Consider the following 25,427-nt stretch of genomic DNA (forward strand, 5'->3'; position numbering starts at 1 on the left):
GTTTCTTTTGCTGTGTAGAAGCTCTTTAGTTTAATTAGATCCCATTTGTCAATTTTGGCTTTTGTTGCCATTGCTTTTGGTGTTTTAGACATGAAGTCTTTGCCCATGCCTATGTCCTGAATGGTATCATGGTCCTCGGTCTTATGTTTAAGTGTTTGATCCATCTTGTGTTGATTTTTGTATAAGGAAGAGGTCCAGTTTCAGTTTTCTGTATATGGCTAGCCAGTTTTCCCAACACCATTTATTAAATAGGGAATCTTTTCCCCATTGCTTGTGTGTGTCAGGTTTGTCAAAGATCAGATGGTTTTAGATGTGTGGTGTTATTTCTGAGGCCTCCGTTCTGTTCCATTGGTCTATATATCTGTTTTGGTACCAATACCATGCTGTTTTGGTTACTGTAGCCTTGTAGTATAGTTTGAAGTCAGGTAGTGTGATGCCTCCAGCTTTGTTCTTCTTGCCTAGGATTGTCTTGGCTATGCGATGCCTGGCTAATTTTTGTATTTTTAGTAGAGACAGCGTTTCAGCATGTTGGTCAGGCTGGTCTTGAACTCCTGAGCTCAGGTGATCCACCTGCCTCAGCCTCCCAGAGTGCTGGGATTACAGGCCTGAGCCACTGCAGCTGGCCTTTGCATGCTTCTCTATGTTAAAGAACCAGTCTGGGAGTAAAAGAAAGGTCAAAACTTTAATGGAAAGACGTTCAGAAAATATGGGGAATCTCCCCACCCCCCACCAAATTTCAATATATATGTAAGAAACATCATTCAAACACATTGGAAAGTTAAGTGAGGCTCCTTTACCCACTGATGAGATTGTTAATGTTTAAGACATCTACACATTAACACTCTGTATGAATCATTACAACTACACTGGAGGGCAATTTGGCCAAGTTGATTCACTTATCACAGATCTGTTGTCTGCCAGGTATTGAAAAGGGTTCACAATGCCATGAGGTGGGGGGTGACTCAGCCCCCTTAGGAGCGTGTGGAAAGGTTGGAGGCATTTGGGGTTTTCACACAGACTTGGTGGTGCCACTGATAGGTCTGTTAGAGATATGGAACATCCTGCACTGAGTGGGACAGTCCCCTGTGTTTCTTCTGTTATCCATTGTTTCTTTTCCCCCGCCCCCTGCCTTTGCGGTGCCTTCCTGCAGACAGTGCTGAGCTCCCCACACCGCTGATTTGTTTTGACTGCGGGAATGAGTGCGGATGTGAGATTGTGTGAGTTCTGGGTGAGGTGTTAACTGTTCTGTGCTTGCTCACTCTCTTATACTGGTGCCATCTACCATGAGACATTTGCAGGCAGCCACTGCTCCCTCAGAGATGTGACGGTGCAGCCGCCCATATTCGGAAGCCCCAGACCTGTGAGCCGGATATCACTGTTTGTCATGAGCACTGAGATTTGGGGGTTGTTTGTTACACATTGTTATCATACATAACCAAACATAAGGAATAATTGTCTCCCTAAATACCACAAGCATGTCCAGCCCTCTGCCTGAAAAACATAGAAGAGGAACAAAATGGAGTGGTGGGCTGAACATGCACCGTCAACACATGATCACAGCACAAACAACATGATTACACGTTGAAGTAAGGGCCTTCAACGACAAGTTGAAAGGTGGGATGTAAAAGGAATGGGAGGAATGAGTGTGGGATGTCTGTGAAAGTTTTCCCAGGTTATAACATTTAAGACCTGAGATGAGTGGCTGGCATGGTGGCTCATGCCTGTAATCACAGCACTTTGGGAGGCCAAGGTGGGCGGATCACCTGAGGTCAGGAGTTCGAGACCAGCCTGGCCAATATGGTGAAACCCTGTATCTACTAAAAATACAAAAATAAGGCCAGGCACAGTGGTGGGCGCCTGTAATCCCAGCACTTTGGTAGGCCGAAGCAGGCGGATCACTTGAGGTCAGGAGTTCAAGACCAGCCTGGCCAACAGGGTGAAACTCCGTATCTACTAAAAATACAAAAATTAGCCAGGTGTGGTGGCAGGCACCTGTAATCCCAGATACTTGGGAGGCTGAGGCAGGAGCATTGCTTGAATCTGGGAGGCTGAGGTTGCAGTGAGCTGAGATCGTGCCATTGCACTCTAGCCTGGGTGACAAGAGTGAAACTCCATCTCAAAAAAAAAAAAAAATTAGCAGGATGTGGTGGTGCATGCTGGTAGTCCCAGCTACTTGGGAGGCTGAGGTGAGAGGATGACTTGAGCCTAGGAGGTCGAGGCTGCAGTGAGTGGTGATCACACTACTGCACTCCAGGAGTGATAGATTGAGACCCTATCTCTAAAAAAAAGATGTCCTAACAAAAGCCTGTTCTCCTTAGCCAAAAGACCAAGAAAGGAGCAGGTTAGCAAGACAGACAACTGTTCATTTTTTTTCTTCTTTTGTCACCTCTGGCCATACAGAAAACTTTTAGACAATAATGGCTCTACTCCAGCCAAACACACAGAGAAAACACTGCTGCCCCATACCTCACATATGCCAGCAAAGTCCCAGTGGGGAGCCTAGACTTCCGTCCTCATGAGGCTCGCTGATGCACCCAAACACCCCTGCCATGATGCTGTCAGAGAAAGCCAGGAGAGAAGCTGGGGCTTTGAACCTGCCAGCTGATAATGCCAGTGGTAATGGTGGTGTTGGTGGAGACCATGTGTGGAGCCTGGATTTCCAACCCCATTTAGCAGTAAAGAGAAGCCCCTACGCTTGGGTGTCAACAGAGGCCAAATGGGAAACCTGGCCATATATTTCCACCAGAAAGTCACAAGGCAGTGTCCTCCTCTTGCTGGAGAAGTATTAGAAGAAGCCAGTTAAAACAGAAGGTTTAAATAAGATCCAGAGTTTCATAGCATAATACAAAAATGTTCAGGTTTCAATAGAAAATCACTTGTCATACCAAGAACCAGGAAGATCTCAAACTGAATGAAACAAGATAATCAATAGATGCTGGTATAGTCTGAATGTTTATACTGCTTTTTCCCCCCACCAAATCCATACGTTGAAATCCTAACCGCCCCAAAGTGATGTTATTAGGAGGTAGGGCCTTTGGAAGGTGATTTGGTCATGAGGGGATAGCTCTCATGGATTAGTGACCTTATAAAAGAGGCCCTGGAGAGCCCCCTAGCGCCTTCTGCCATATGAAGACACAGTGAAAAGATGGTCATTTATGAACCAGGAAGTGTGTCCTTAGCAGACACTGAATTTGCTAGCCCCTAGATCTTGGACTTCCCAGCCTCCAGAACTGTGAGAAATCAGTTTCCGTTATTATAAGCCACCCAGTTTTTGGCATTTTGTTATAGCAGTCTGAGTGGGCCAAGAAAGATGCCAATACCAAGATGACAGAGATGTTAGAATTATCTTTTAAAGATTTTCAAGCAACCATGATTAAAATTCCTCCACGAGCAATTCTGAACATACTTGAATGAAAGAAATAGTAAGTCTCAACAAAGAAACAGAAAGTCTTGGCAATAAAATAGAGGCTATGAAAAACCAAATGGGAATTTTAGAATTGAAAAATAGAGTGAACAAAAATAAAAGCTCAGTATTTGGGCAGAATGTAGAATACAGAAGAAAGAATCAATGAACTGGAAGACAGAAAAATAAAAATTATAAATCTGAACAACAGAGAGAAAATAGGCTAAAAAATGAACACAGCACCAAGGACCTCTGAGATTATAACAAAAGATGTAATATTATTGTCATCAGAGTTTCTGAAGAAGAGAGAGAAGGGAAGGTTGAAAAAGCACTCAAAGAAAAAATGTTTAGGTTGGGCACCGTGGCTCACGCCTATAATCCCAGCACTTTGGGAGGCCAAGGCAGGTGGATCACTTGAGCCCAGGGGTTCAAGACCAGCCTGAGCAACATGTGAAACCCCGCCTCTAGAATAAATACAAAAATTGGCCAAGCATGGTGGTGCATGCCTGTGGTCTCTGCTACTTGGGAGGTTGAGGTGGGAGGATCACTTGAGCCTGTGAGGCCGAGGTTGAAGTGAGCTGTGATCGTGCCACTACATTTAGCCTGGGTGATAGAGTGAGACTCCATCTCAAAAAAAATAAAAAGAAAAAATGTTCAAAGACTCCCAAAATTTAGGAAGACACTAAGATTTAAGAAGGTGAGCAAGCAAACCCCAAACAGAATAAACTCACAAGAAGTCCATGTGAAGACACAATATAATTACATTTCTGAAAACTAAAGACAAAAAAAAAAAAATCTCAAAAGCAGCCAGAGGAAAAAAAAGACTTTACCTGTAAGGAAAAAATAATTGACAGAAGATTTCTCATTAAAAACCCTGAAGTTTAGAGAAAAGTGGCAAATTTTTCAAAGGGTGAATGTGAAGAACTGTCAGCCCAGAATCCTATACACAGGGAAAATATACATTAGCAATGAAGGGGAAATCAAGACATTTGCAGATAAAGGAAAGCTATTAGAATTTGTTGCAGCAGACCTACCCTAAAAGAATGGCAAAAAATTCTCTAAATGGGAAAGAAACAATAAGAGAAGGAAACCTTGGAACATTCGGAAGGAAGAAAGAACACAGTAAGCAAAAATATGGGTAAATTCAATAGACTTTCCTTCTCTTGAGTTTTCTAAACGATGTTTGATTGTTGAAGCGAAAATTATAATATTGTCTGATGTGGTTATAACTGTATGTAGAGGAAACATTCAACTATTATTAATGGGGGAGAGTAAAGGGATATAGGGAAATGAAGTTTCTATATTTCACTTGAGCTAATAAAATGATAATACCAGTAGACAGTGATAAATGTCTACACACACACACACACACACACACACACACACAAACACACACACGCAACATTTAGAGTAACCACAAAGCTATGCAAAGAGATCTTTTCAAAAACAGTGCAAAGTGGAATTCTTAAAAATGTTCACAGGAAGGCAGAAAAAGAAAACAGAAATAAAAAACAGAGAACAAACAGAAAGCAAAAAACCAAAATGGCAGACTTAAGTGCTAACAGGTCAATAATAACATCAAATATAAATGGTTTAAATATACCAATTGAAGGACAGAGATTGGTGAGTTAATTTTCCAAAAAAGACCCAACTATATCCTATCTGGAAGAAATTCACTTCAAATATAAAGATATAGGCAATGATAGAGGCAGGTTGAAATTAAAAAATGATAAAACATATATAATCCAAATAATAAAAGGAAAGCAAGAGTGGCTATAAAAATATCAGATAAAATAGACCAGTAGAAAAAAATGATGAGTGACAGAGAGGAACATATAATCATAAAAAGTCTATCCACTAAGAAGACATAATAATCCTAAATGTGTATGTAGCAAGCAACAGAGTTGCAAATTTGTGAAACAAAAACTGACAGAACTGAGAGGGGAAATAAAGAAATCTATGGCCTGGTGCTGTGGCTCATGCCTGTAATCCCAACACTTTGGGAGACTGAGGCGGGTGGATCACGAGGTCAAGAGATCGAGACCAGTCTGGTCAATATGGTAAAACCCCGTCTCTACTAAAAATACAAAAATTAGCTGGGCGTGGTGGTGTGCACCTGTAGTCCCAGCTACTTGGGAGGCTGAGGCAGGAGAATTGCTTGAACCCAGGAGGCGGAGGTTGCAGTGAGTAGATATTGTGCCACTACACTCCAGCCTGGTGACAGAGTGAGACTCCGTCTCAAAAAAAAAAAAAAAATCTATAATTATAGTTAGAGACCCCTCTATTGACAATTGATAGAATAAGGCCAGGTGCAGTGGCTCATGCCTGTAATCCCACCACGTTGGGAGGCCAAAGCAAGAGAACTGCTTGAGCCCAGGAGTTCAGGACCAGCCTGAGCAACACAGTGAGATTCTATCTCTACCAAAAATAAAAAAAATTTAGCTAGGCTGGATGACACACACCTATAGTCCCAGCTACTTGGGAGGCTGAGGTGGGAAGATTGCTTGAGCCCAGTAGGTTAAGGCTGCAGTGAGCTGTGGTCATGTCATTGCACTCCAGCCTGGGTGACAGAGCAAGACCATGTCTCTTAAAAAACCAAAACCAAAACAAGGCCAGGCACAGTGGCTCACGCCTATAATTCCAGCACTTTGGGAGGCGTAGGCAGGAGGATCCCTTGAGGCCAGGAGTTCAAGACTAGCCTGAGCAACATGACCAGACCCCATGTCTACGAAAAAATTAAAAAAAAATTATTAAAGCATGGTGGTGCATACCTGTAGTCCCCACTACTCTGGAAGCTGAGGCAGGAGGATCAATTGAGCTCAGGAGTTCAAGGCTGCAGTGAGCTATGATCATACCACTGTACTTCAGCCTGGGTGATAAAGTAAGACCCTACCTCTAAAAACTAACAAACAAACAAACAATAATAACAACAACAACAACACCCTACAGCTAACATCATAGTTAAGGGTGAGAAACTGGACACTTTGGCTCTAAGGTTGGGAAGAAGGCAAGGATGTCCTTTTTCCATTCCTATCCAATATCTTACTGGAAGTCCTATATAATGCATTAGGACAGGAAAAGGAAATAGGAAGTATATAGATTGGGATGAAGAAATAAAACTATTTGTTCACAGATGAAATGACTGATTCTGTAGAAAATCCCTTAAGAAATTAATAGAACAACTAGACAAATCAGCAGGGCATAGAAGAACTCAACAGCTAAAAGGGCCGAATTGCCACTCCACCCAACAACAGATCCTTTCAATTGCCTGTGGAATATATACTAAGAGAGACCATATTCCGGACTATTTAAACAAAATCTTAACACATTTACGAGAATTGAATCATAGCTCGTTCTCTGACTATATAGATTCAAACTAGCAATCAATAACACAATAACAGAAAAATCTCTAAACACTTGAAAATTAAACCATATACTTCTAGATAATCAATTAGGAAGTCACAAGAGAAATTTAAAAAATACATTGAACTAAATAAAAATGAAACTACAACATACCAAAAATTTGTGGTACACAGCTAAGAGCAGTGCCCAGAGGGAAAGTTAACAGCACTAAAATGCATCCATTAGAAAAGTGGGAAAATCTTAATAATCTAAGCTCCATCTCAAGAACCTAGAAGAGTAAAATAAAACCAAAACGAGCAGAAAGAAGAAAATAATAAAGAGCAGACGGCCGGGTGCGGTGGCTCACACCTGTAATCCCAGCACGTTGGGAGGCCGAGGCGGGCAGATCACGAGGTCAGGAGATCGAGACCATCCTGGCTAACAAGGTGAAACCCTGTCTCTACTAAAAATACAAAAAATTAGTTGGGTGCAGTGGCGAGCGCCTGTAGTCCCAGCTACTCAGGAGGCTGAGGCAGGAGAATGGCGTGAACCCGGGAGGCAGAGCTTGCAGTGAGCCGAGATTGCGCCACTGCACTCCAGCCTGGGCGACAGAGCGAGACTCTGTCTCAAAAAAAAAAGAAAATAATAAAGAGTAGAAATTGATGGAATTGAAACAGAATCGGGCATGGTGGCTTATGCCTGTAATCCCAGCACTTTGGGAGGCTGAGGTGGGTGGGTCACCTGAGGTCAGGAGTTCAAGGCCGGCCCGGGCAACATGGTGAAACCCCATCTCTACTAAAAATACAAAAATCAGCTGGGTGCAGCGGAGCGCGCCTGTAATCCCAGTTACTCGGGAGGCTGAGGCAGGAGAATCATATGAACCCAGGAGGCGGAGGTTGCAGTGAGCCGAGATCACGTCACTGCACTCCACCCCAAGTGACAGAGACTCCATCTCAAAAAAAAAAAAAAATTAAACAGAGAACTAGTTATTTTAAGAGATCAATAAAGTGGATAAACCTCCAGCAAGATTGACAAAGAGAAACAGAGAAAATGGATAAATTCTTTCTATCAGGAATGAAATACAGGGTGGCACTAGAGAGCCTGAAGATGACAAAAGAATATAAGGAAATACTATAAACAACTCTATTCAAATAAATGACTTAGACTAAATGAACCAATTCCTTTAAAAAAACACAGCTACCATAGCTCACCCAATATTAAATAGATACTTTGTAGCCTGGGCAACATAGCCAGACCCCATCTCTACCAAAAAAGACAAAAATTAGCCAGGTGTGGTGGCATGTGCCTATAGTCCCAGCTACTGGGTAGGCTGAGGCAGAAGAATCACCTGCTGACAGAGCGAGACCCCATCTCTTAAAGAAAAAGATACTTTGAGTAGCACTATGACTATTAGGAAATTGAATTTGCAATAAAAATTCCCCAAAAGAGATCTCCAAAGAAGGTTTCGTTGGAGAAGGTTTCAGCAGAGAATTCTACAACTACTTAAAGAACAAACAGCAATCTGCATAAGCTCTTCCAGATAATAGACCAGAAGGGAACACTTTCCAGTTCTTTATGAAGCTAGTATTGGGAAGGAAAAGCTTTCTCTTTATTATATTTTGTTCAGTTTATGGGGGCCTCCAAAAAATTATTTATTTGAGGCAGGGTCTCACTCTGTCACCCAGGCTTGAGTGCAGTGGCACAATCATGGCTCACTGCAGCCGTGGCATCCTGAGCTCAAGTGATCCTCCCACCTCAGCCTCTGAAGTAGCTGGGACCACAGGCATGCGCTACCATGTTCAGCCAATTTTCAAAACATTTTTTGTAGAGATGGCGGTCTCACTATGTTGCCCAGGCTGGTCTCGAACTCTTGGGCTCAAGTGATCCTCCTCGTTAGCCTCTTAAAGTGGTGGGATTACAGGTGTGAGCCACCATGCCCAGCCAGGGCCTGCAAATTAAACTGACAAAAGACAGATTAACGGAACAGAAAATCAGCATGGGCATATAAGAACTCAACAACACCATCGACTAATAGGGTCTAATTAAACTTTTTATAGGACACTCCCAAAAAAGGCTTATTTGCATGGATGCTGGAGCTAGCAAAATAAGTAGCTAGCCTACTAAATGGTTAGAGGTTTATGTCTGGGCGCAGTGGTTGATACCTGTAATCCCAGCATTTTGAAAGGCTGAGGCAGGAGGATTTCTTGAGCCCAGGAGTTCAAGACCCGACTGGGCAACGTAATGAGACCAAAAAATGAAACAGAACAAAACAACAATAACGAAAACCACACAAGAAAAGAAAGAAACAAAAAACCAGTTAGTGGCTTGTGTGCCTAACTCTAGGTAAAACGGAGAGGTGACGAAAGTTTGTATGAGAACAAATAGGATTCTTTAGGACAGACGAATGGGTTTTGGGAGAACAAACACGAGATAAGAAAGGGTTTTTTATTTTTTTTGAGACGGAGTCTGTTGCCCAGGCTATAGTGCAGTGGTGTGATCTCGGCTAACTGCAACCTGTGCCTCCCGGGTTCAAGCGATTCTTCTGCCTCAGTCTCCCGAGTTGCCGGGATTACAGGCGCGCGCCACCACGCCCGGCTAGTTTTTGTATCTTTAGTAGAGACGGAGTTTCACCATGTTGGTCAGGCTGGTCTCGAACTCCTGACTTTGTGATCTGCCCGCCTTGGCCTCCCAAAGTGTTGGGATTACAGGTGTGAGCCACTGCGCCCGGCCGATAGTTTTTTAAAAATGTAGGTGCTAGTGGTCTTACTGTCTTCTTCATGGACATGAAATTATTCTCATATAATGAGAATTAAATATGATCCTTCATGTAAAGAGTTTAGAATAATGTCAGAAACAAAGCAAGCAATAAATTATCATTTAGTTGATAAGAATCATTCCAATTCATCTGGCGAGTGCAACACACACACACACTGTATTTGTGTATGGAATAACTGTTCAAGAACACACACACAGTATGTGTGTATGAAATAACTCTTCAAGAACAAAGGGGAAACCGTTATAGGGCATGAAAGGGGAAACCGTTATAGGGCATGGAAGGGGAATTAGGACAAGGTGTGAGTGGAAAGAGAAACATCCCACCGCACACGCTTAAAAAAGCCGTTTAATTTAAAAATAGGTAATACAGCCATACAGAGAAGACATTAAAAGATCTACACAGAAAATTTTCGCTCCCAATCCATTCCCTACTCACAGTCCTACATACGTTACTTTTATTTTCCTTTTTTTTGGAAATGCACTGGCCCCCTACTCTCTCACGAAGGCTGAACTCTCTCTACATTCTTCTGCACCTGTTTTTTGTGCATACTCTTTCGTTGTCAAATATTTCCCTCCAACTGTTGTTGTGTATGAAATAAATACACACATATAAGCTAACCAGCCCCACTTGCCCGCACCACCTACACGCCCGTCCCCGCCCTCCCTCAGGCCCACGTGCTCCGAGGGCCGCCTTCGCAGGTTGTTTCTGGCGATGCCTGTCTGAAGGCCTCAGACTGAGGCCCCGCCCACTCTCCCTCTCCTCTGCCCTTTGGACGCGCGCCTCGGTTCCGAACGCAGCGGACGGCGCCTCAGGCAGCGCGGCGGACAGCCCGTCCTCCGGCGCGCCGCGAGCCTCGGAGGACCCTAGCGACGGTCGTGGCGTAAGACCGGGGGGACGCGGCGGTAGCGGCGGCCGTTGCGATTGATTGCGCTGGTTGCCTGCGGCGTCCACTTCCTTGGCCGCCCTTGCTACACTGGCTGATTGTTGTGCAGCCGGCGCCATGTCTGTGAGCGAGATCTTCGTGGAGCTGCAGGGCTTTTTGGCTGCCGAGCAGGACATCCGAGAGGCGAGCCCCCTCCCTTCCCCATTCCCTTTGCCTTTCCATGCCTAGTTGGGCCACTTCGCCCGGCCCTCCTCTGTCGCTCAGTCTCGGGCGGTGGGGACGCCTCCGAGGGTGGGTTGCTTCCCCTCTAGCTTTAGGTTAGGCACTCCCCGCCCCCGCCCAAAATTTTGCTGCTCTGTCCTGATTCCCCGTGTTCGAGTCTCAGCTTCTCAGCATCACTTGCCTCGTTTGTGTCAGTTTTCCTTCTTTTCAGCACTTGTTTATATCGAAGGCTCGATTAGCACCTGGTCTTCAGCGAATGAGCGTTTCGTGTATTTTTGTTGGTGTCTTAAAAGCACATGTGATCTGCTTAAAACTCTCCTGTGATTTCCTATGCCACACAGGATAAAAAATCAGACTCTACTGTGGCTCACATGGTTTCTCTTCAATCTCGTTTATGCTCTCTGTCTTTGTGTATGATGTTCACTTTACCTCTTCTAGTGCCCCAAATAGCTTCCTGCCTGTTTGCTTTTCCTGGAATTTGCTTCTTTCCCGTTCTTTTCCTGATTGTCTCGTATTTATCTCATTGGCGTCACAGTCTAAGCGATCTATTTCCTGTTATGTTTTCTAGTAGCACATTAACTTTTTTTAATGTGTGTAATATTGATTATTTTAAAAAAATCTTCTCCCTCATTGTATGTTAAACCGCCAGAGGGAAGGGATTGTGTGCTTGGTTCCCCGGTATTTACACAGTGCCTCGCACATAAGTATGCTCAGTGAATATTTTAAAAATGAATTAGAGGCGGGGAGCGGCGCCTCATGCCTGTAATTCCAGCATTTTGGGAGGCCGAGGCGGCCAGATCACCTGAGGTAAGGAGTTTGAGACCAGCCTGGCCAACATGGGGAAACCCTGTCTCTACTAAAAATATAAAAGAACATTAACTGGGCATGGTTGCGCACACCTGTAATCCCAGCTACTCGGGAGGCTGAAGCAGGAGAATGGCGTGAACCCGGGAGGCGGAGGTTGCGGTGAGCTGAGATCGCGCCACTGCACTCCAGCCTGGGTGACAGAGCGAGACTCCGTCTCAAAAAAAAAAAAAAAAAGAAAAAAGAATTAGAAATACCCGACTCTTGTGTTGCATTTAACTCTTCATTTTGCAAGTTGCGTTCACACACGTCATCCATTATAATGTCCCAATTGAATACTTGGGTTTAATGGGTGGCTATTATTCTTTAAAGGGTATCTGAGGAATCTAAGGCTTTTTAGTGACTTTTTGAAGTCTTACAGAGGAAATAAGTGGAAAAGTCAGGATTCAAACTTGGTTATGATAGATCACATAAGCTATCTAATGTGTTTTGTGTGAGTGTATGACAATGATTCTGTTGAGTATCTGATTTTTATTTTTAATTCTCTCTAGGAAATCAGAAAAGTTGTACAGAGTTTAGAACAAACAGCTCGAGAGATTTTAACTCTACTGCAAGGGGTCCATCAGGGTGCTGGGTTTCAGGACAGTAAGTTCTTTGTTTTGTATCCAATTATCAGTCTCTTATTTAGAGGGAGAGTTTCTATCCAGAAGACATTTTATAATGAAAAATGGCTATCATGCTTTATGGTGAGTAAAAATTGAAGAAGTAGGTGATTTGATAATTTTGGTTGATTTTTCTTCCACTTCCACACAGTATGGTTTAAACAGAGATGTTTTCTATTGCGAGGGCATTCTACTGATGATAATTACAATTGCTTAACCCATTTCCTGTTTAGAAAAAAAAAGTGCAGCTCTCTGCCAGCACAGTATTCTCAGGGTAAGCGGGAAAAGGGTTTATTATTATTTTTTTAATTTTTTTTTTTTCTGAGACGGAGTTTCACTCTTGTTGCCCAGGCTGGAGTGCAGTGGTGCCATCTCAGCTCACTGCAACCTCCGCCTCCTGGGTTCAAGCAATTCTCCTGCCTCAGCCTCCTGAGTAGCTGGTGTTACAGGTGCCCGCCATCACGCCCAGCTACTTTTTTTTTTTTTGGTATTTTTATTAGAGATGGGGTTTCACTTTGTTGGCCAGGCTGGTCTTGCACTCCTGACCTCAGATGATCCGCCTGGCTGGGCCTCTCAAAGTGCTGGGATTACAGGCGTGAGCCACTGCACCTGGCCCAAGGGTTTGTAACTCTTTTGTGTTATCTAGTGACTTTTATTTGGCCCTTTGTGTGTGTGTGTGTGTATGTGTGTATGTGTGTATATGCACCTGTGTGTATTTGAATCCAGCCTTTCAGTGATTGAATACCTTTTAATATGAGATTAACAGTATAAAATGTTCTCAAATTAATGTGTTTATAATCAGCCTCTTGAATGAAAATAAAATATGTCAAGTTTAGACATGGAACCTTCATTGTAAGGTATTGCCAGCACAGCTAAAGGAGCTGAAGTATATTTTCAGATACAAGAATGATATAATAATGCATTTACACGTGCCAGAGGCAAGTGATTTTTCTTAATGATACGGAGTTGGTCATCCTGATTGTGAATACTTGGTAAAGGCTTTTTTCTGCCAAATATGGGAGGAAGAAGCAATCCAATTTTAGGCATCCTCTGAGGAGTGAACAGGAATAGCAGCTGGTGTGCATCTCCTTAAGGATGACGTTATTTATGACAACCAAACCAATTACCAGTGTGTCTCCTAATATATTCCCTTTTAGCAAGTTGTTTATTTTTCAGTATAGCTAATTAGTAGGGAAACTGGGGATGATATTTTGAAAGCCAGGTTGAAAAGCACAGATGTGTACGTTAGTTGTGAGGTTTTTTTGTTGATTAATTTCCAGATAGATTACTTAGATTATTAAGCAAGAACTGTATTTGAAATTTGGTTAAGTTTTTCATTTGGTTATCTTTTGTGACTAGTTCCAAAGAGGTGTTTGAAAGCTCGAGAACATTTTGGTACAGTAAAAACACATCTAACATCTTTGAAGACCAAATTTCCTGCTGAACAGTATTACAGGTTTGTAAGAAAAATAGCATTATTTTATAATGTTAAGTAAAAAAAAGGAGAAAAATTATGTGTACCAAATGATTGCTTACAACTAGGCAAACATCCTGTGTAGAAGTAACAAAAAGAGAAAAAACCGAACTAATAATGGTCATGACAAAAATTGGTGATTTTATTTTTTTCTTCTTTTTACTGTCTAAATCTTAAGGAACATGTATTACTTTTGCAGTGAAAAAGCAATTAAAAAGAAAATGTGGTATGAGGGTCAAAAGTGAGAATATCTTTTTGCTATATTCAAGTTTCTTGTGAAATTGGATGAACTATAGTTAGTGAAATAATGAGATTAGGTGGCAGTATATATATGGAGTCGAGTTTTACTTTGAAGCTTGAATTTCACTGCCAAGTGATGTAATTAGCTAATATTTTATGCCATGTTTTCTTATTAAAATCAACACTGTTGATTTTAAGATACACCATTATTTTATGTACCAGTAGGGAAGGAAAATTTTGCCAGTCATAAATGTGAAACATGGGCCAGGCGTGGTGGCTCACACCTGTAATCCTAGCACTTTGGGAGGCCTAGGTGGGCAGATCACCTGAGGTCAGGAGTTTGAGACAGCCTGGCTAGCATGGCGAAACCCCGTCTCTACTAAAAATACGAAAATTAGCCAGGTGTGGTGGCTTATCCCTGTAACCCCAGCCACTTCAGAGGCTGAGGCAGGAGAATCGCTTGAACCAGGCAGGCGGAGGTTGCAGTGAGCCAAGATTGTGCCATTGCACTCCAGCCTGGGCAACAGAGTGAGACTCCATCTAAAAAAAAAAAACAACTTGTGAAACATGGATTGTGAAATGTCTCCTGGTTTCATAGGTGTTAAACTGGGAAAAACTGCACCTGAATCAAAAGTTTCTACTTATTTTAATTTTCTTACTGAAAAAGATGTTCTTTTAAGACGTATATATCAGCAGTAAATAGGATGAGTATTTTCAGGGGGTGGGTAGTATAACCTTATGAGAATATTCTTTTAAGGGAGAGGTTGACAAACCACTAGTGGCTGCTGCCTCTGGGAGCTAAGAATTGCTTTTGTTTTTTCAAGAGTTGTTAAAAAAAAGAAAATCCCAGATAAGAATATGTAACAGTGAAAGCGTCCCACAAAGCCTAAAATATTTACTACTTGGCCCTTTACAGAAAACATTTGCTGATCCTTGCTGTAAGGCAGGGGTTCCCAACCCCCAGGCCATGGACTGGTACTGGTCTGTGGCCTGTTAGGAACTGGGATGCACAGAAGGAGGTGAGCGGTAGGTGAGCGAGTGAAGCTTCATCTGTATTTACAGCCGCTTCCCATCACTTGCAGTACTGCCTGAGCTCCACCTCCTGTCAGATTGGTGGCAGCATTCGATTCTCATAGTAGTGCGAACCCTATTGTGGACTGTGCATGCGAGGGATCTAGGTTGCATGCTCCTTATGAGAATCTAATACCTGATGATCTGAAGTGGAACAGTTTCATCCTGAAACCATCCGCCCCCCTTCTGTGGAAAAATTGTCTTCCATGAAACCAGTCCCTGGTGTTGAAAAGGTCAGGGACTGCTGTTGTAATAGCTGAAGCACAGAGAGAGGTAGGACAGTAGAACAGGTGGGGTCTTTAGAGACCATCTTCTCTGGAGGTCACACACAGGCTGCCCTCTGGCTGGATTTGGCCTTCAGAAGGGTTTGTGTGACCTGCATTATGTTGAGACCTTTTTTTTGAATGTATTGCCACATTTGAGAATCAGGAGGCATTGCATAAATATCCACAGGTTGTAAAATTTCCTTTTTTCAGGCTTCTAGCTCAGTATTCTATTTTAAGTGCATTTGTTTAGTGATTGCAAATGGTAATTTTGTGAATCAGAATTTTCTTGGTATTCTGCACTCAAATCAAAATGGAGGAATACGTTGAGGATGATACATAACTGCAGTTGTCTTCAATCATCAGTTACAAATTTTTATTTTTTTCAGAGCAGTATCACTGTTCTTACTGATTAAATTTAGAAGGCACAATTGCTCTTGTCATCTGTAATCTTCAGTTTTCTTTTTTCTGTCTTTTTTTTTTTTTTTTTGAGACGGAGTGTCGCTCTGTCGTTCAGGGTGGAGTGCAGTGGTGTGATCTTGCGCACTGCAACCTCTGCCTCCCAGGTTCAAGCAGTTCTCCTGCCTCAGCCTCCCGAGTAGCTGGGACTATGGGCGCCTGCCACCACGCCTGGCTAATTTTTGTATTTTTAGTAGAGAGGGGGTTTTGCCATGTTGGCCAGGCTGGTCTTGAACTCCTTACCTCAGATTGATCAACCTGCCTCTGCTTCTCAAAGTGCTGGGATTACAGGCGTGAGCCATCGCACCCGGCGTAAATTTTCATACTCATCAAAATTAGACCATATTTGTCACTGATTAAACTTAATTGTTATAAATTCGAACTTGTAAAATTAATGCTAAATGTCATATTTCTCTTTATATATTGGGGGTTTGTGTAAGATTTTATTTGAAAAATGATCGCATTTCTAAACCGTTTGAACATGGCTGTATTAAACCCATCTTTCTGAAGGTCCCTAACCTTGGAGGCTAAATGTGCTTATTTTCATGCAGATTTCATGAGCACTGGAGGTTTGTGTTGCAGCGCTTGGTCTTCTTGGCAGCATTTGTTGTGTATTTGGAAACAGAAACACTAGTGACTCGAGAAGCAGTTACAGAAATTCTTGGCAGTAAGTGTCTTTATTAGTGGGATCTGCAGAATCAGGCATGGTTGCTTACTTTTTGGTGGAAAGGGTGGTTGTACTTTGTTTATTAAAACAAACAAGAATTAACTAAAAACCACTTATAGTTGTAGCTTGGTATCTGAGGATGATGCTTCCAGAGCTCTTCCAATACCCAAATCTGAGGATGTTCAAGTCCCTTATATAACTGGTGTAGTATTTGCATATAACCTATACACATTCTCCCACATACTTTAAATCATCTCTAGATTTCTTAAAATATCTAATACAGTATAAGTGCTATGTAAATATTTTTTTTTTTTTGAGACAGAGTCTCTGTCGCCCAGGCTGGAGTGCAGTGGTGCAATCTCCGCTCACTGCAACCTCCACCTCCCAGGTTCAAGTGATTCTCCTGCCTCAGCCTCCCGAGTAGCTGGGATTACAGGTGCCTGCCACTATGCCCAGCTAATTTTTTGTATTTTTTTTTTTTTTCCGAAATGGAGTTTTGCTCTTGTTGCCCAGGCTGTAGTGCAATGACGCAATCTCAGCTCACCACAACCTCCACCTCCTGGGTTCAAGCATTTCTCCTACCTCAGCCTCCTGAGTAGCTGGAATTACAGGCATGCACCACCACACCCGGCTAATTTTGTATTTTTAGTAGAGATGAGGTTTCTCCATGTTGGTCGGGCTAGTCTTGAACTCCTGACCTCAGGTGATCCGCCTGCCTCAGCCTCCCAAAGTGCTGGGATTACAGGCGTGAGTGACCGCACTCAGCCAATTTTTTGTATTTTTTTAGTAGAAACAGGGTTTCACCATGTTGGCCAGGCTGGTCTTGAACTCCTGACCTCGTGATTTGCCCGCCTTGGCCTCCCAAAGTGCTGGGATTACAGGCATGAGCCACCACGCCTGGCCTTTTCCCAAATATTTTCTATCCATAGTTGGTTAGCGCAGAGGGCCGACTCTACCTGGAAATGTAAAAGCTAAAAATAACAATGGCAAACACATTTGCACTTGCTTTAGTTTTTAAAATTGAATTTTTAAAAATTTCAAGCCTACAGAAAAATTGAAAGAATAGTACAATGAATACCTGTTTACATGCCACTTAGATTTACCACTTGTTAACATTTTGCTACATCTGCTTAATCTTCTCATTTTGTGTGTGTCTTTGTCAGCCATTTGAAAGTTGCAAATATCGTAACTCCTTTCTGAAATGCTTTATCATGTGCTTTCTAACAAGAAGTATATTCTGTGACACAACTAGATACTGTTTTTGATAGTATTTTTGAGGGAAGACTGAATTGAATTTTGCTTAAGAACTCAAAAAATCCATAGTGAGGTCTAGTTGCCAAGGTTGTGAATATATTAAAAAGCCAGTTTTTAAAAGATTCATCCTTTCTTCACTTACTTTGGGAGAAATTATGTGTATATTTTTATATTCTGAGGCTTAACTTGCATTCACAGCATGACTTTATTTTCATGTGTTTTTTAGTTGAGCCAGATCGGGAGAAAGGATTTCATCTGGATGTAGAAGATTATCTCTCAGGAGTTCTAATTCTTGCCAGTGAACTGGTAAGCTCAGTAACTTGCTGGTTGCTTTTTTGATCTTTCTGCTTCACTGTCAGTTTTTTTTTTTTTTTTTTTTTTTGAGACAGAGTCCCGCTCTGTCGCCTAGGCTGGAGTGCAGTGGCGCAATCTCGGCTCACTGCAAGCTCCGCCTCCCGAGTTCATGCCATTCTCCTGCCTCAGCCTCCTGAGTAGCTGGGACTACAGGCGCCCGCCACCACACCCGGCTAATTTTTTTTTGTATTTTTAGTAGAGACGGGGTTTCACCGTGTTAGCCAGGATGGTCTCGATCTCCTGACCTCGTGATCCGCCCACCTTGGCCTCCCAGAGTGCTGGGATTATAGGCGTGAGCCACTGTGCCTGGCCCACTGTCTGTTTTTAAAATGGGTACCAAAATTCAGAACGTCTTAATTCTTTTCTAAGCCATCTCTCGGTCACCAGGTAGTCACTGACTGGCACTGTATGTGTTACAATTTACTAGGCATCAGAGAAAAGCCAGATCAAATGATGAGTGCATACTTACTGAGTTAAGAATTTTTAACCGATGATAAGACCTCTTCCTTTTAGGGTAGTGGCAAAACATTTATTCCTGGTAACTGTTAATCCATGTAATTGTTTTGGACACTCATTTGTCTATATAACTAAGTTATTCTTATCCTTTATTCCTTTAACCACTATCTAGGGAAATTGCCCTGTAAAAGTCTAAAGAAAAAAAAAGCTGTCAGTAGCAAAATTGAGTAGTTGTGATAGAGACTGTGCCAGTCTGCAGAGGTGAAAATATTTACTATCTGGCTCGTTAAGAAAAAGTTTGCTTGTCCTTGCTCCAGAGGAAAGCAGTCCAGGGCTGGTCTGATGATTCCTTGATCTTTGGCCCTAGGTTCTTCTAGCTTCAGCTTCTTTCTTATGTTCCAGAACTGTTGCTCTAGTCACATCTTCACTCTAGCCAGCAGTAGGAGGAAATAGGGAAAATGGTATGCCCTCCCGCTTTAAGGACATTTCTTTGAAGTTGTACACACAACTTCTGTTAACATTCTGGTGCCTTGCCTGCAGGGAGGCAGAAATGGAGTCTATTGGAGTGGGTATGTGTGCATTGAAAACCTGAGGAAGATGGTGAGAATGGATGATGGGGTCCACTTGTAGGCTGTACCACTTGTCTGGCTTGTTGGAGACACCTGACCAGTAAACAGGAAGCATCTTGTTAGTATTAGTTAAGTGTAAGGTGTCTTTAGGACCATACATGTTGGGGCCGGGCACAGTCGCTTACGCTTGTAATGCTGGCAGTTTTGGAGACCAAGGTGGGAGGATCCCTTGAGGCCAGGAGTTCCACACCAGCCTAAGCAACAAAGCAAGACCCCTTCTCTATATTAAAAACAAACAAACAAACAAAAAACCCGTATGTTGACAGTGCACTAAAGGGGTAAGCCTGGAAAAGTGGAGAGGATTTTACAGAAAGGGGAATCTTTTTTATTATTTTAATATATTTTTTAAAGCCAGTCAAATGGAGCAGTAGGGGGTTGTATACTGACACCGAGAAGGGGAGTCTTGGGTTGGGTCTTGAAATCAATGTTAGTTCTCCTTCAAGACAGGGTTACACTAACATAATTTTAGATTCTTATCCCAAGTCTGCCTTACTTGATTCTAGGTGACTGGAGTTGCAGCTTAGTAGGTGGGCTCTAGAAATGTGATCATTTGGCCAAGGTTGGAAGAGGTAGTGGAGCTGCTGTGATTATTTTGTCGTTTCTTTCTTCGATATGATAGCAGATGAGCTGTAAAGATGCTTGTGTAATGTAACACTTTATTATGCAATAGCCAGTTTAAGAAATTAGAGAAATTTTAGATGTTAGTAATGTTAAATTTTACTTGGCAGAACTGGTCTCATTTTCAGTGGGATTCTTTTCAGAGAAGCTCCTGTCTTGTCTGTACTTGTGTGTACCCTGAGATAGAAGATCAGCGTGGCTGTCTAGGCTTGCGGTTCTTCTGGTTGTGATTCAGAGGAAGATGCGCTGAGAAGGAGCCATGTTGTAACAAGCCCCTGTTTTCTCTTTCCTGGTACAGTCGAGGCTGTCTGTCAACAGCGTGACTGCTGGAGACTACTCCCGACCCCTCCACATCTCCACCTTCATCAATGAGCTGGATTCCGGTTTTCGCCTTCTCAACCTGAAAAATGACTCCCTGAGGAAGCGCTACGACGGATTGAAATATGACGTGAAGAAAGTAGAGGAAGTGGTCTATGATCTCTCCATCCGGGGCTTTAATAAGGAGACGGCAGCAGCTTGTGTTGAAAAATAGGAGGCTCTCCTTGCTCCTGGCCTTGCTGACCTCAGCGGTTGCCAGGAAGGGGTGAGCACAGAGTGCCTCTTACGGTAGTTAGGATGCTCAGTTGCTAAACACTGCGCTTTATTTTCTTAACCAGTTGTGGTGTGAGTATCAGAATTGAAACACTTTTTTGGGGGTAAAAAATATAGCCTTTACATGGACAGAATTTTTTTTGTTGTTTCAGTGAATATGCCTGTAATTCAGTGTATTTCAGTTCCGTCAGAAAGTGTAAATGTTAGTTTCTTGGTAAAGTCCTTTTCTTGCTTACCTTGACTGTTGATGTACTGATTGAGAAGTTCATTGTCTCGTTTGTGATTCTTCCAGATGTGATGCTTGATATTTTCTATATGCGAGTTAGCCATCCACACCCAGGCATAGCCTGGATACAGTATAAAAATAGATAATTAAAAAGATGGTTGCCAAGCAAGGAAAACTTATTTTATATTTTCCCTTCCTTATTTTAAGCATTGTGAGTAAATCAGATGTTGAATTCTTTTGCCAAGGGAATTATAGCTGCAGGTTCTCTCTCACTGCCATCAAACTGTAAAAGATTAAACTGCGAAGTCAAGCTCAACAGATTATTTTGGAAAGTTTTTGTATTAAGGGATTTAGTAACATCATTTTGTTTTCCACCAGGCAGGGAGTAGGGCTTAGTGTTTTAAAACACCTCTGCTTTCTGATGTTGCCTTAATATTCTGCTATTGCAGCAATTAAAAATTGTCTTCATGTACATTTGGAACTAACACGTGATGTGATATATTCCTAAACTATGAAACCTTTTTCCTAGTAGTCAGCTAGATCATTTGTTCTGGGAGTATAAAGCCACCCACGTAAGTTAATAAGCAAAATCCTGACTATTATGTTGTTAGAGAAAAATGCTTTGCTTTGTCTGGAAGAAAGATAAAATAGTGAATTATAAATAAGTCAGGCCGGGCGTGGTGGCTCACACCTGTAATCCCAGCACACTGGGAGGCCGAGGCAGGGGGACTGCTTGAGCTCAGGAGTTCGAGACCAGCCTGGGCAACAAAGTGAGACTCCATCTCTATATAAAAACAAAAACCACGAAAGCACACACAAAATAAATCAGTGGGATTTGGTAATGTGTTTTAGAGTAAGAAATTTCAGGTTGTTGGTGACTATCCCAACAGTCATGTTTTAAATGTACAGTTTGGGGCAAGTCATGTAAATACTGTTGGTGGTCTTCCCCACACGCCCCAATTTTCAGGTAGTACTAAGAGTATGTGCCAGGAAACTCTTGCTATTGAATTGAGATGATTAAAATGGTGACTTAATCCGTAGTTATTTTGCACCCACTGAAAGGAAAGTGCTTTCCAGAATAATATGAAGTATCTAAAAGTGTCACCTTTTCTTGCCTGATCAACAATTTGGGCTTCCTGTTTGTACAAGGGGCCATTTGGCATACCTTTCACAGCTTTTATCAGGCCAAGTTAAAGGCTGACTACATTTTTTCATCATGAGGAAAGCAGTTGAAATGAGGCATGAGTTACTGTGCATTGGGATTTTAGAACAATTTTCTTGTGACAGCTCTTTTTGTGAAGTTAGGTTCTTAAAAGTGCCCATGATGGTCACTTAAAATGTGCAGTAATAGCACTGCCAGGATCAAGCATGAAAGGCTTTTAAATTAGATCATCCCACAGACAATACGTTTGATAATAGTTTTTTCTTTTAACCTCTTTAAGTATTGATTCTGCTTGAGAATATTGAAGTACTTGCCAGAAGTTGTGGATTTCAGTTTTAACAAATGCTATTAAAGTGGAGAAGCACACTCTGGTCTTGGAATTCCATTTGAGGATTTAGAAGTGTCATGTTTATAACTATTCAGTTGTGTTTGTTGCTGGCTTGTTGTAAAGCAATAAAATTTTTTTGGTCTTTTTGTAAGTGAGTGTGCTGCTGTAAGAAATCTCCCATGTGCATAACAAATTCTGAATATTTTTTGAGGCTAAAGAAGACCGGGGTGACAAGCAGATACTGCTGTGTAATGGTTACACTAACCAAAAGACACCAGCCACTCAGAGTTCTATACTGTAAAGCGCAGATAACATTTGTGTGTTATACCTTGATTGGGGAATTAAAAGTCATTTAACTGAAGATGTTGAGAAACCTGGGCTCTGGTTTTAGTATACCGGAATTACTTTTTTCCAATTTTAGAAAATCAAGCAGGTTAGAGAAAATAGAGATGAATTAGGGGACACTGTCTTATGGATTCATTTATAAGAAGAGAACCAGCCATATACACTTGGGGAGATTTGCCACATCTTAAACTTGAATAATAGTATGAGTAATGCTTAAGGGAGTTTAATAGAGAAGGAAAGCTTTGGCAGTGTTTTGAGAACTTAAGTGGCTAAAGAGATGAGACAAACATGCAGGTCGCTACTGGCATAGTTTCATAATTGTGTACTCGGAAATTAAAGTTTGCTTGTTTCTTGGTCTGGATTAAACTGTTTGTCCTCCTTTTCAGATAGAGCATCACAGTCAGGGCTGACACCAAAATAAGACTTTCCCTGAGCCTGAAATAATTTTTTTTTTTTTTTAAGTATCTACTGTAATAAGCATCAAACAAGCAGAAATAAACAATGTCCCTTCCCCTGGACAACAACAACAGCAATAACAAACATTTAAAGGCGGTAAAATTGCCAGGACTGGTGGGTTGGTTGAGTGGGCTGGGTGCGGGTAGTAGGACGAGATGGGACGGGACGGGGAGGAATCTAGCATCGCTGCCAGGTTTCTGGCTCAGGTTTGGTGCCATTCACTGAGGTGAGGAGTGTAGGAAGATCGCATGTCTGGAGGGGGCTGGGCAGCTGATGCATTTGCTTTTGGATGTGTTGGATTTATGACACTGGAGCGGCAGGTGGATAAATCAAAAGTGGGTAAGATCTCCCTGGAGAACGTGTAGAATGAGAAGAGTCACAAGCTGGGGACAAATTCTTGGTTAACAGCATGGCTTAACAAGGTAGGCAGAGGAAATGGAGTCCATGAGGAAGTGGAGAAATGGTCAGAGAGGCTAACAGAATGGGAAGAGTGGCTTGTTTCAGAAGCCAGGGAATAAAGGGTCTTAAGTTTTGGGGTGAGGGATTTAAAATAATCTACAGCCTGGGAGCTCCATGACTAATCTGTCAGGTTACGCTAGGTTATCCTGTGGGAACACCACCAGAGCTCATAGGCAAAGAACAAGGTTTCTCACTCACATTCCCTCTCCATTGCAGCTTAGCTGGGGATCTGTTCCACGTTGTCTTTATGTAGGGTGACAGAGCAGCCACTAACTGGACCATTGCTAGTTTTAGTGGGAGAGGGAGGGAGCTGTGGAGTGTCTTGCACAAATACATGATCTGGTCACTCTGACAATTATTGTTTTTTTTTTTTTTTTTTTTTTTGGAGATAGTCTGGCTCTGTCACCAGGGCTGGAGTGCATTAGTGCAATCTGGGCTCACTGCAACCTTCACCTCCTGGGCTCAAGCGATCCTCCCTCTTCAGCCTGCCTAGTATCAATAGCTGGGACTACAGGTGCAGGCTACCATGCCTGGCTAATATTTAAAATTTTTTATAGAGACAGGGTTTCACTATGTTGCCCAGGCTGGTCTCAAACTCCTGGGCTCAAGTGATCGTCCCACTTTGGCCCCCCAGTGTGTTGGGATTACAGGTGTGAGCCACTACACCCGGCTTCAATTCATTGTTTAAAGGTAGACACGTGGCCCTGCTAAACCACAAGGGGGTCGGAAGTGAAATCCTATCTTGTAGGATGAGAGTCAGGAATGGATAGACAAAATACTGAAGTTTGGGGGTATGTTTAGTTCAATTTGTTAAATATATAGTTGTAATACTTCCATATACACATGAACACCAATTGGCTTGGGAGGGAGAGAAGGTGCCCCAGGACCACTCTCCTGTTTGACAGAGTTCTCTGGTATGTGTGCATTTGTGTTGGATTTGTGTTACATTTTAAGCCAACATTCAGCGAGCTCTATGTGTTCCATGGGCTGGGCTAAACATTTTGTTTAATTATCTCATTTTGTCCTTATATAAGACAACTATGTGAGGTAGCTACTACTATTTTCCCTATTTTAGACTTGGCTTAGAGAGGGCAATTAACTTGCTGTGAGTTCATAGTTATGAAATGAAAGCGCTGCTGTTCAGAACCCAGTTATTTTGCCTCGACATTGCAACAGACCATTTCTTCCTGGATGCTCTTGCATGGCATCCCTTCATAGCCTGACAAGACAAACATCAAATCCGCAAATAGTTAAGAGCACAAAGTGTGTGTTTAACTTTGGGCTAAGTGTGGTTTGTCATAAAAATAAGCATGAAAATAAATAGACTTGGTCCTCACCCTCAAGATGTTTAGTTCTAGTTGCAGGGGAGGAGGTGGTGAGAAAAGAGATTAAACAGGTAAGAGGTTAAATATTCAACTAATATTTGAGTGCCTACTATGATCTATTTTTAACAGCTTTATTGAAATACATTCACATGTAAAATTGACCCATATCAAGTGTATGATTCAGTGATTTAATTTACCATGTGGTGGAAGCATCACCATAAATCAGTTTTAGAACTTTTTTTTAATCTCCCCAAAATATCCCTGCTCCTACTGCCAGCCCTAGGCGACACTAATCTAATTTTCATCTCTATAAATTTGCCTTTTCTGGATATTTCATAGAAATAGACTCCTACAGTATATGATCTCTTATGTCTTTTCGCTTAGCATAATGTTTTAAAGGTTCATAACATACGTTAGTTTGTTCCTTTTTATTGCTAAGTAGTATTCCATTGTTTGGATATTCCACATTTTTTTTTTTTTTGAGACGCAGTCTTGCTTTGTCACCCAGGCTGGAGTGCAGTGGCGTGATCTCTGCTCTCTGCAATCTCTGCCTCCCGGGTTCAAGTGATTCTCCTGCATCAACCTCCCGAATGGCTGGGATTGCAGGTGTGTGCCACCACGCCCAGCTAATTTTTGTGTTTTTAGTAGAGACAGGGTTTTGCCATCTTGGCCAGGCGGGTTTTGCCATGTTGGCCAGGCTGGTCTTGAACTCCTGACCTCAGGTGATCCGCCTGCCTCGGCCTCCCAAAGTGCTGAGATTACAGGCATGAGTCTGGCCAGATATTCCACATTTTATCTATACATTCATCACATGATGACACATTTAAGTTCCATTTTTTTGGCTACTATGAATAATGCTGCTCTGAACATTAGCATGCAAGTCTGTGTGAACGTAAGTTTCTATTTCTTTTGGATAGGTACCTAGGAATCTGTGGTAAAAATGGTAAGTTTATGTTTA

The 25,427-nt window shown here is 42.2% G+C and overlaps 1 protein-coding gene across 6 annotated transcripts, besides 1 other annotated feature; it reads left to right on the forward strand.

Moving 5' to 3' along the window:
- Positions 10,258 to 10,447: an enhancer, noted in NCBI's record as "active region_16472". NCBI's record gives its function as "activates an Ori minimal core promoter by ATAC-STARR-seq in GM12878 lymphoblastoid cells {active_cell/tissue: GM12878}" and the evidence as "EXISTENCE:reporter gene assay evidence [ECO:0000049][PMID:35858748]".
- TSN (translin) lies at positions 10,393 to 22,595 on the forward strand. Of its 6 annotated transcripts, NM_004622.3 has the most exons (6): positions 10,393 to 10,587; positions 11,982 to 12,075; positions 13,452 to 13,548; positions 16,151 to 16,266; positions 17,747 to 17,826; positions 19,876 to 22,595. In NM_004622.3, the coding sequence occupies exons 1-6, from the start codon at positions 10,522 to 10,524 to the stop codon at positions 20,107 to 20,109; spliced, it is 687 nt and encodes a 228-aa protein (NP_004613.1). In that variant the 5' UTR covers positions 10,393 to 10,521; the 3' UTR covers positions 20,110 to 22,595. The 6 variants fall into 6 exon arrangements, 2 of the variants coding, with proteins under 2 accessions (NP_004613.1, NP_001248330.1); NR_048556.2 differs by lacking the exon at positions 11,982 to 12,075; NM_001261401.2 differs by lacking the exon at positions 17,747 to 17,826.
- Positions 22,596 to 25,427: the final 2,832 nt, after the last annotated feature.

The sequence above is a fragment of the Homo sapiens genome, chromosome 2, assembly GCF_000001405.40.
Source record: "Homo sapiens chromosome 2, GRCh38.p14 Primary Assembly".
NCBI lineage: Eukaryota > Metazoa > Chordata > Mammalia > Primates > Hominidae > Homo > Homo sapiens.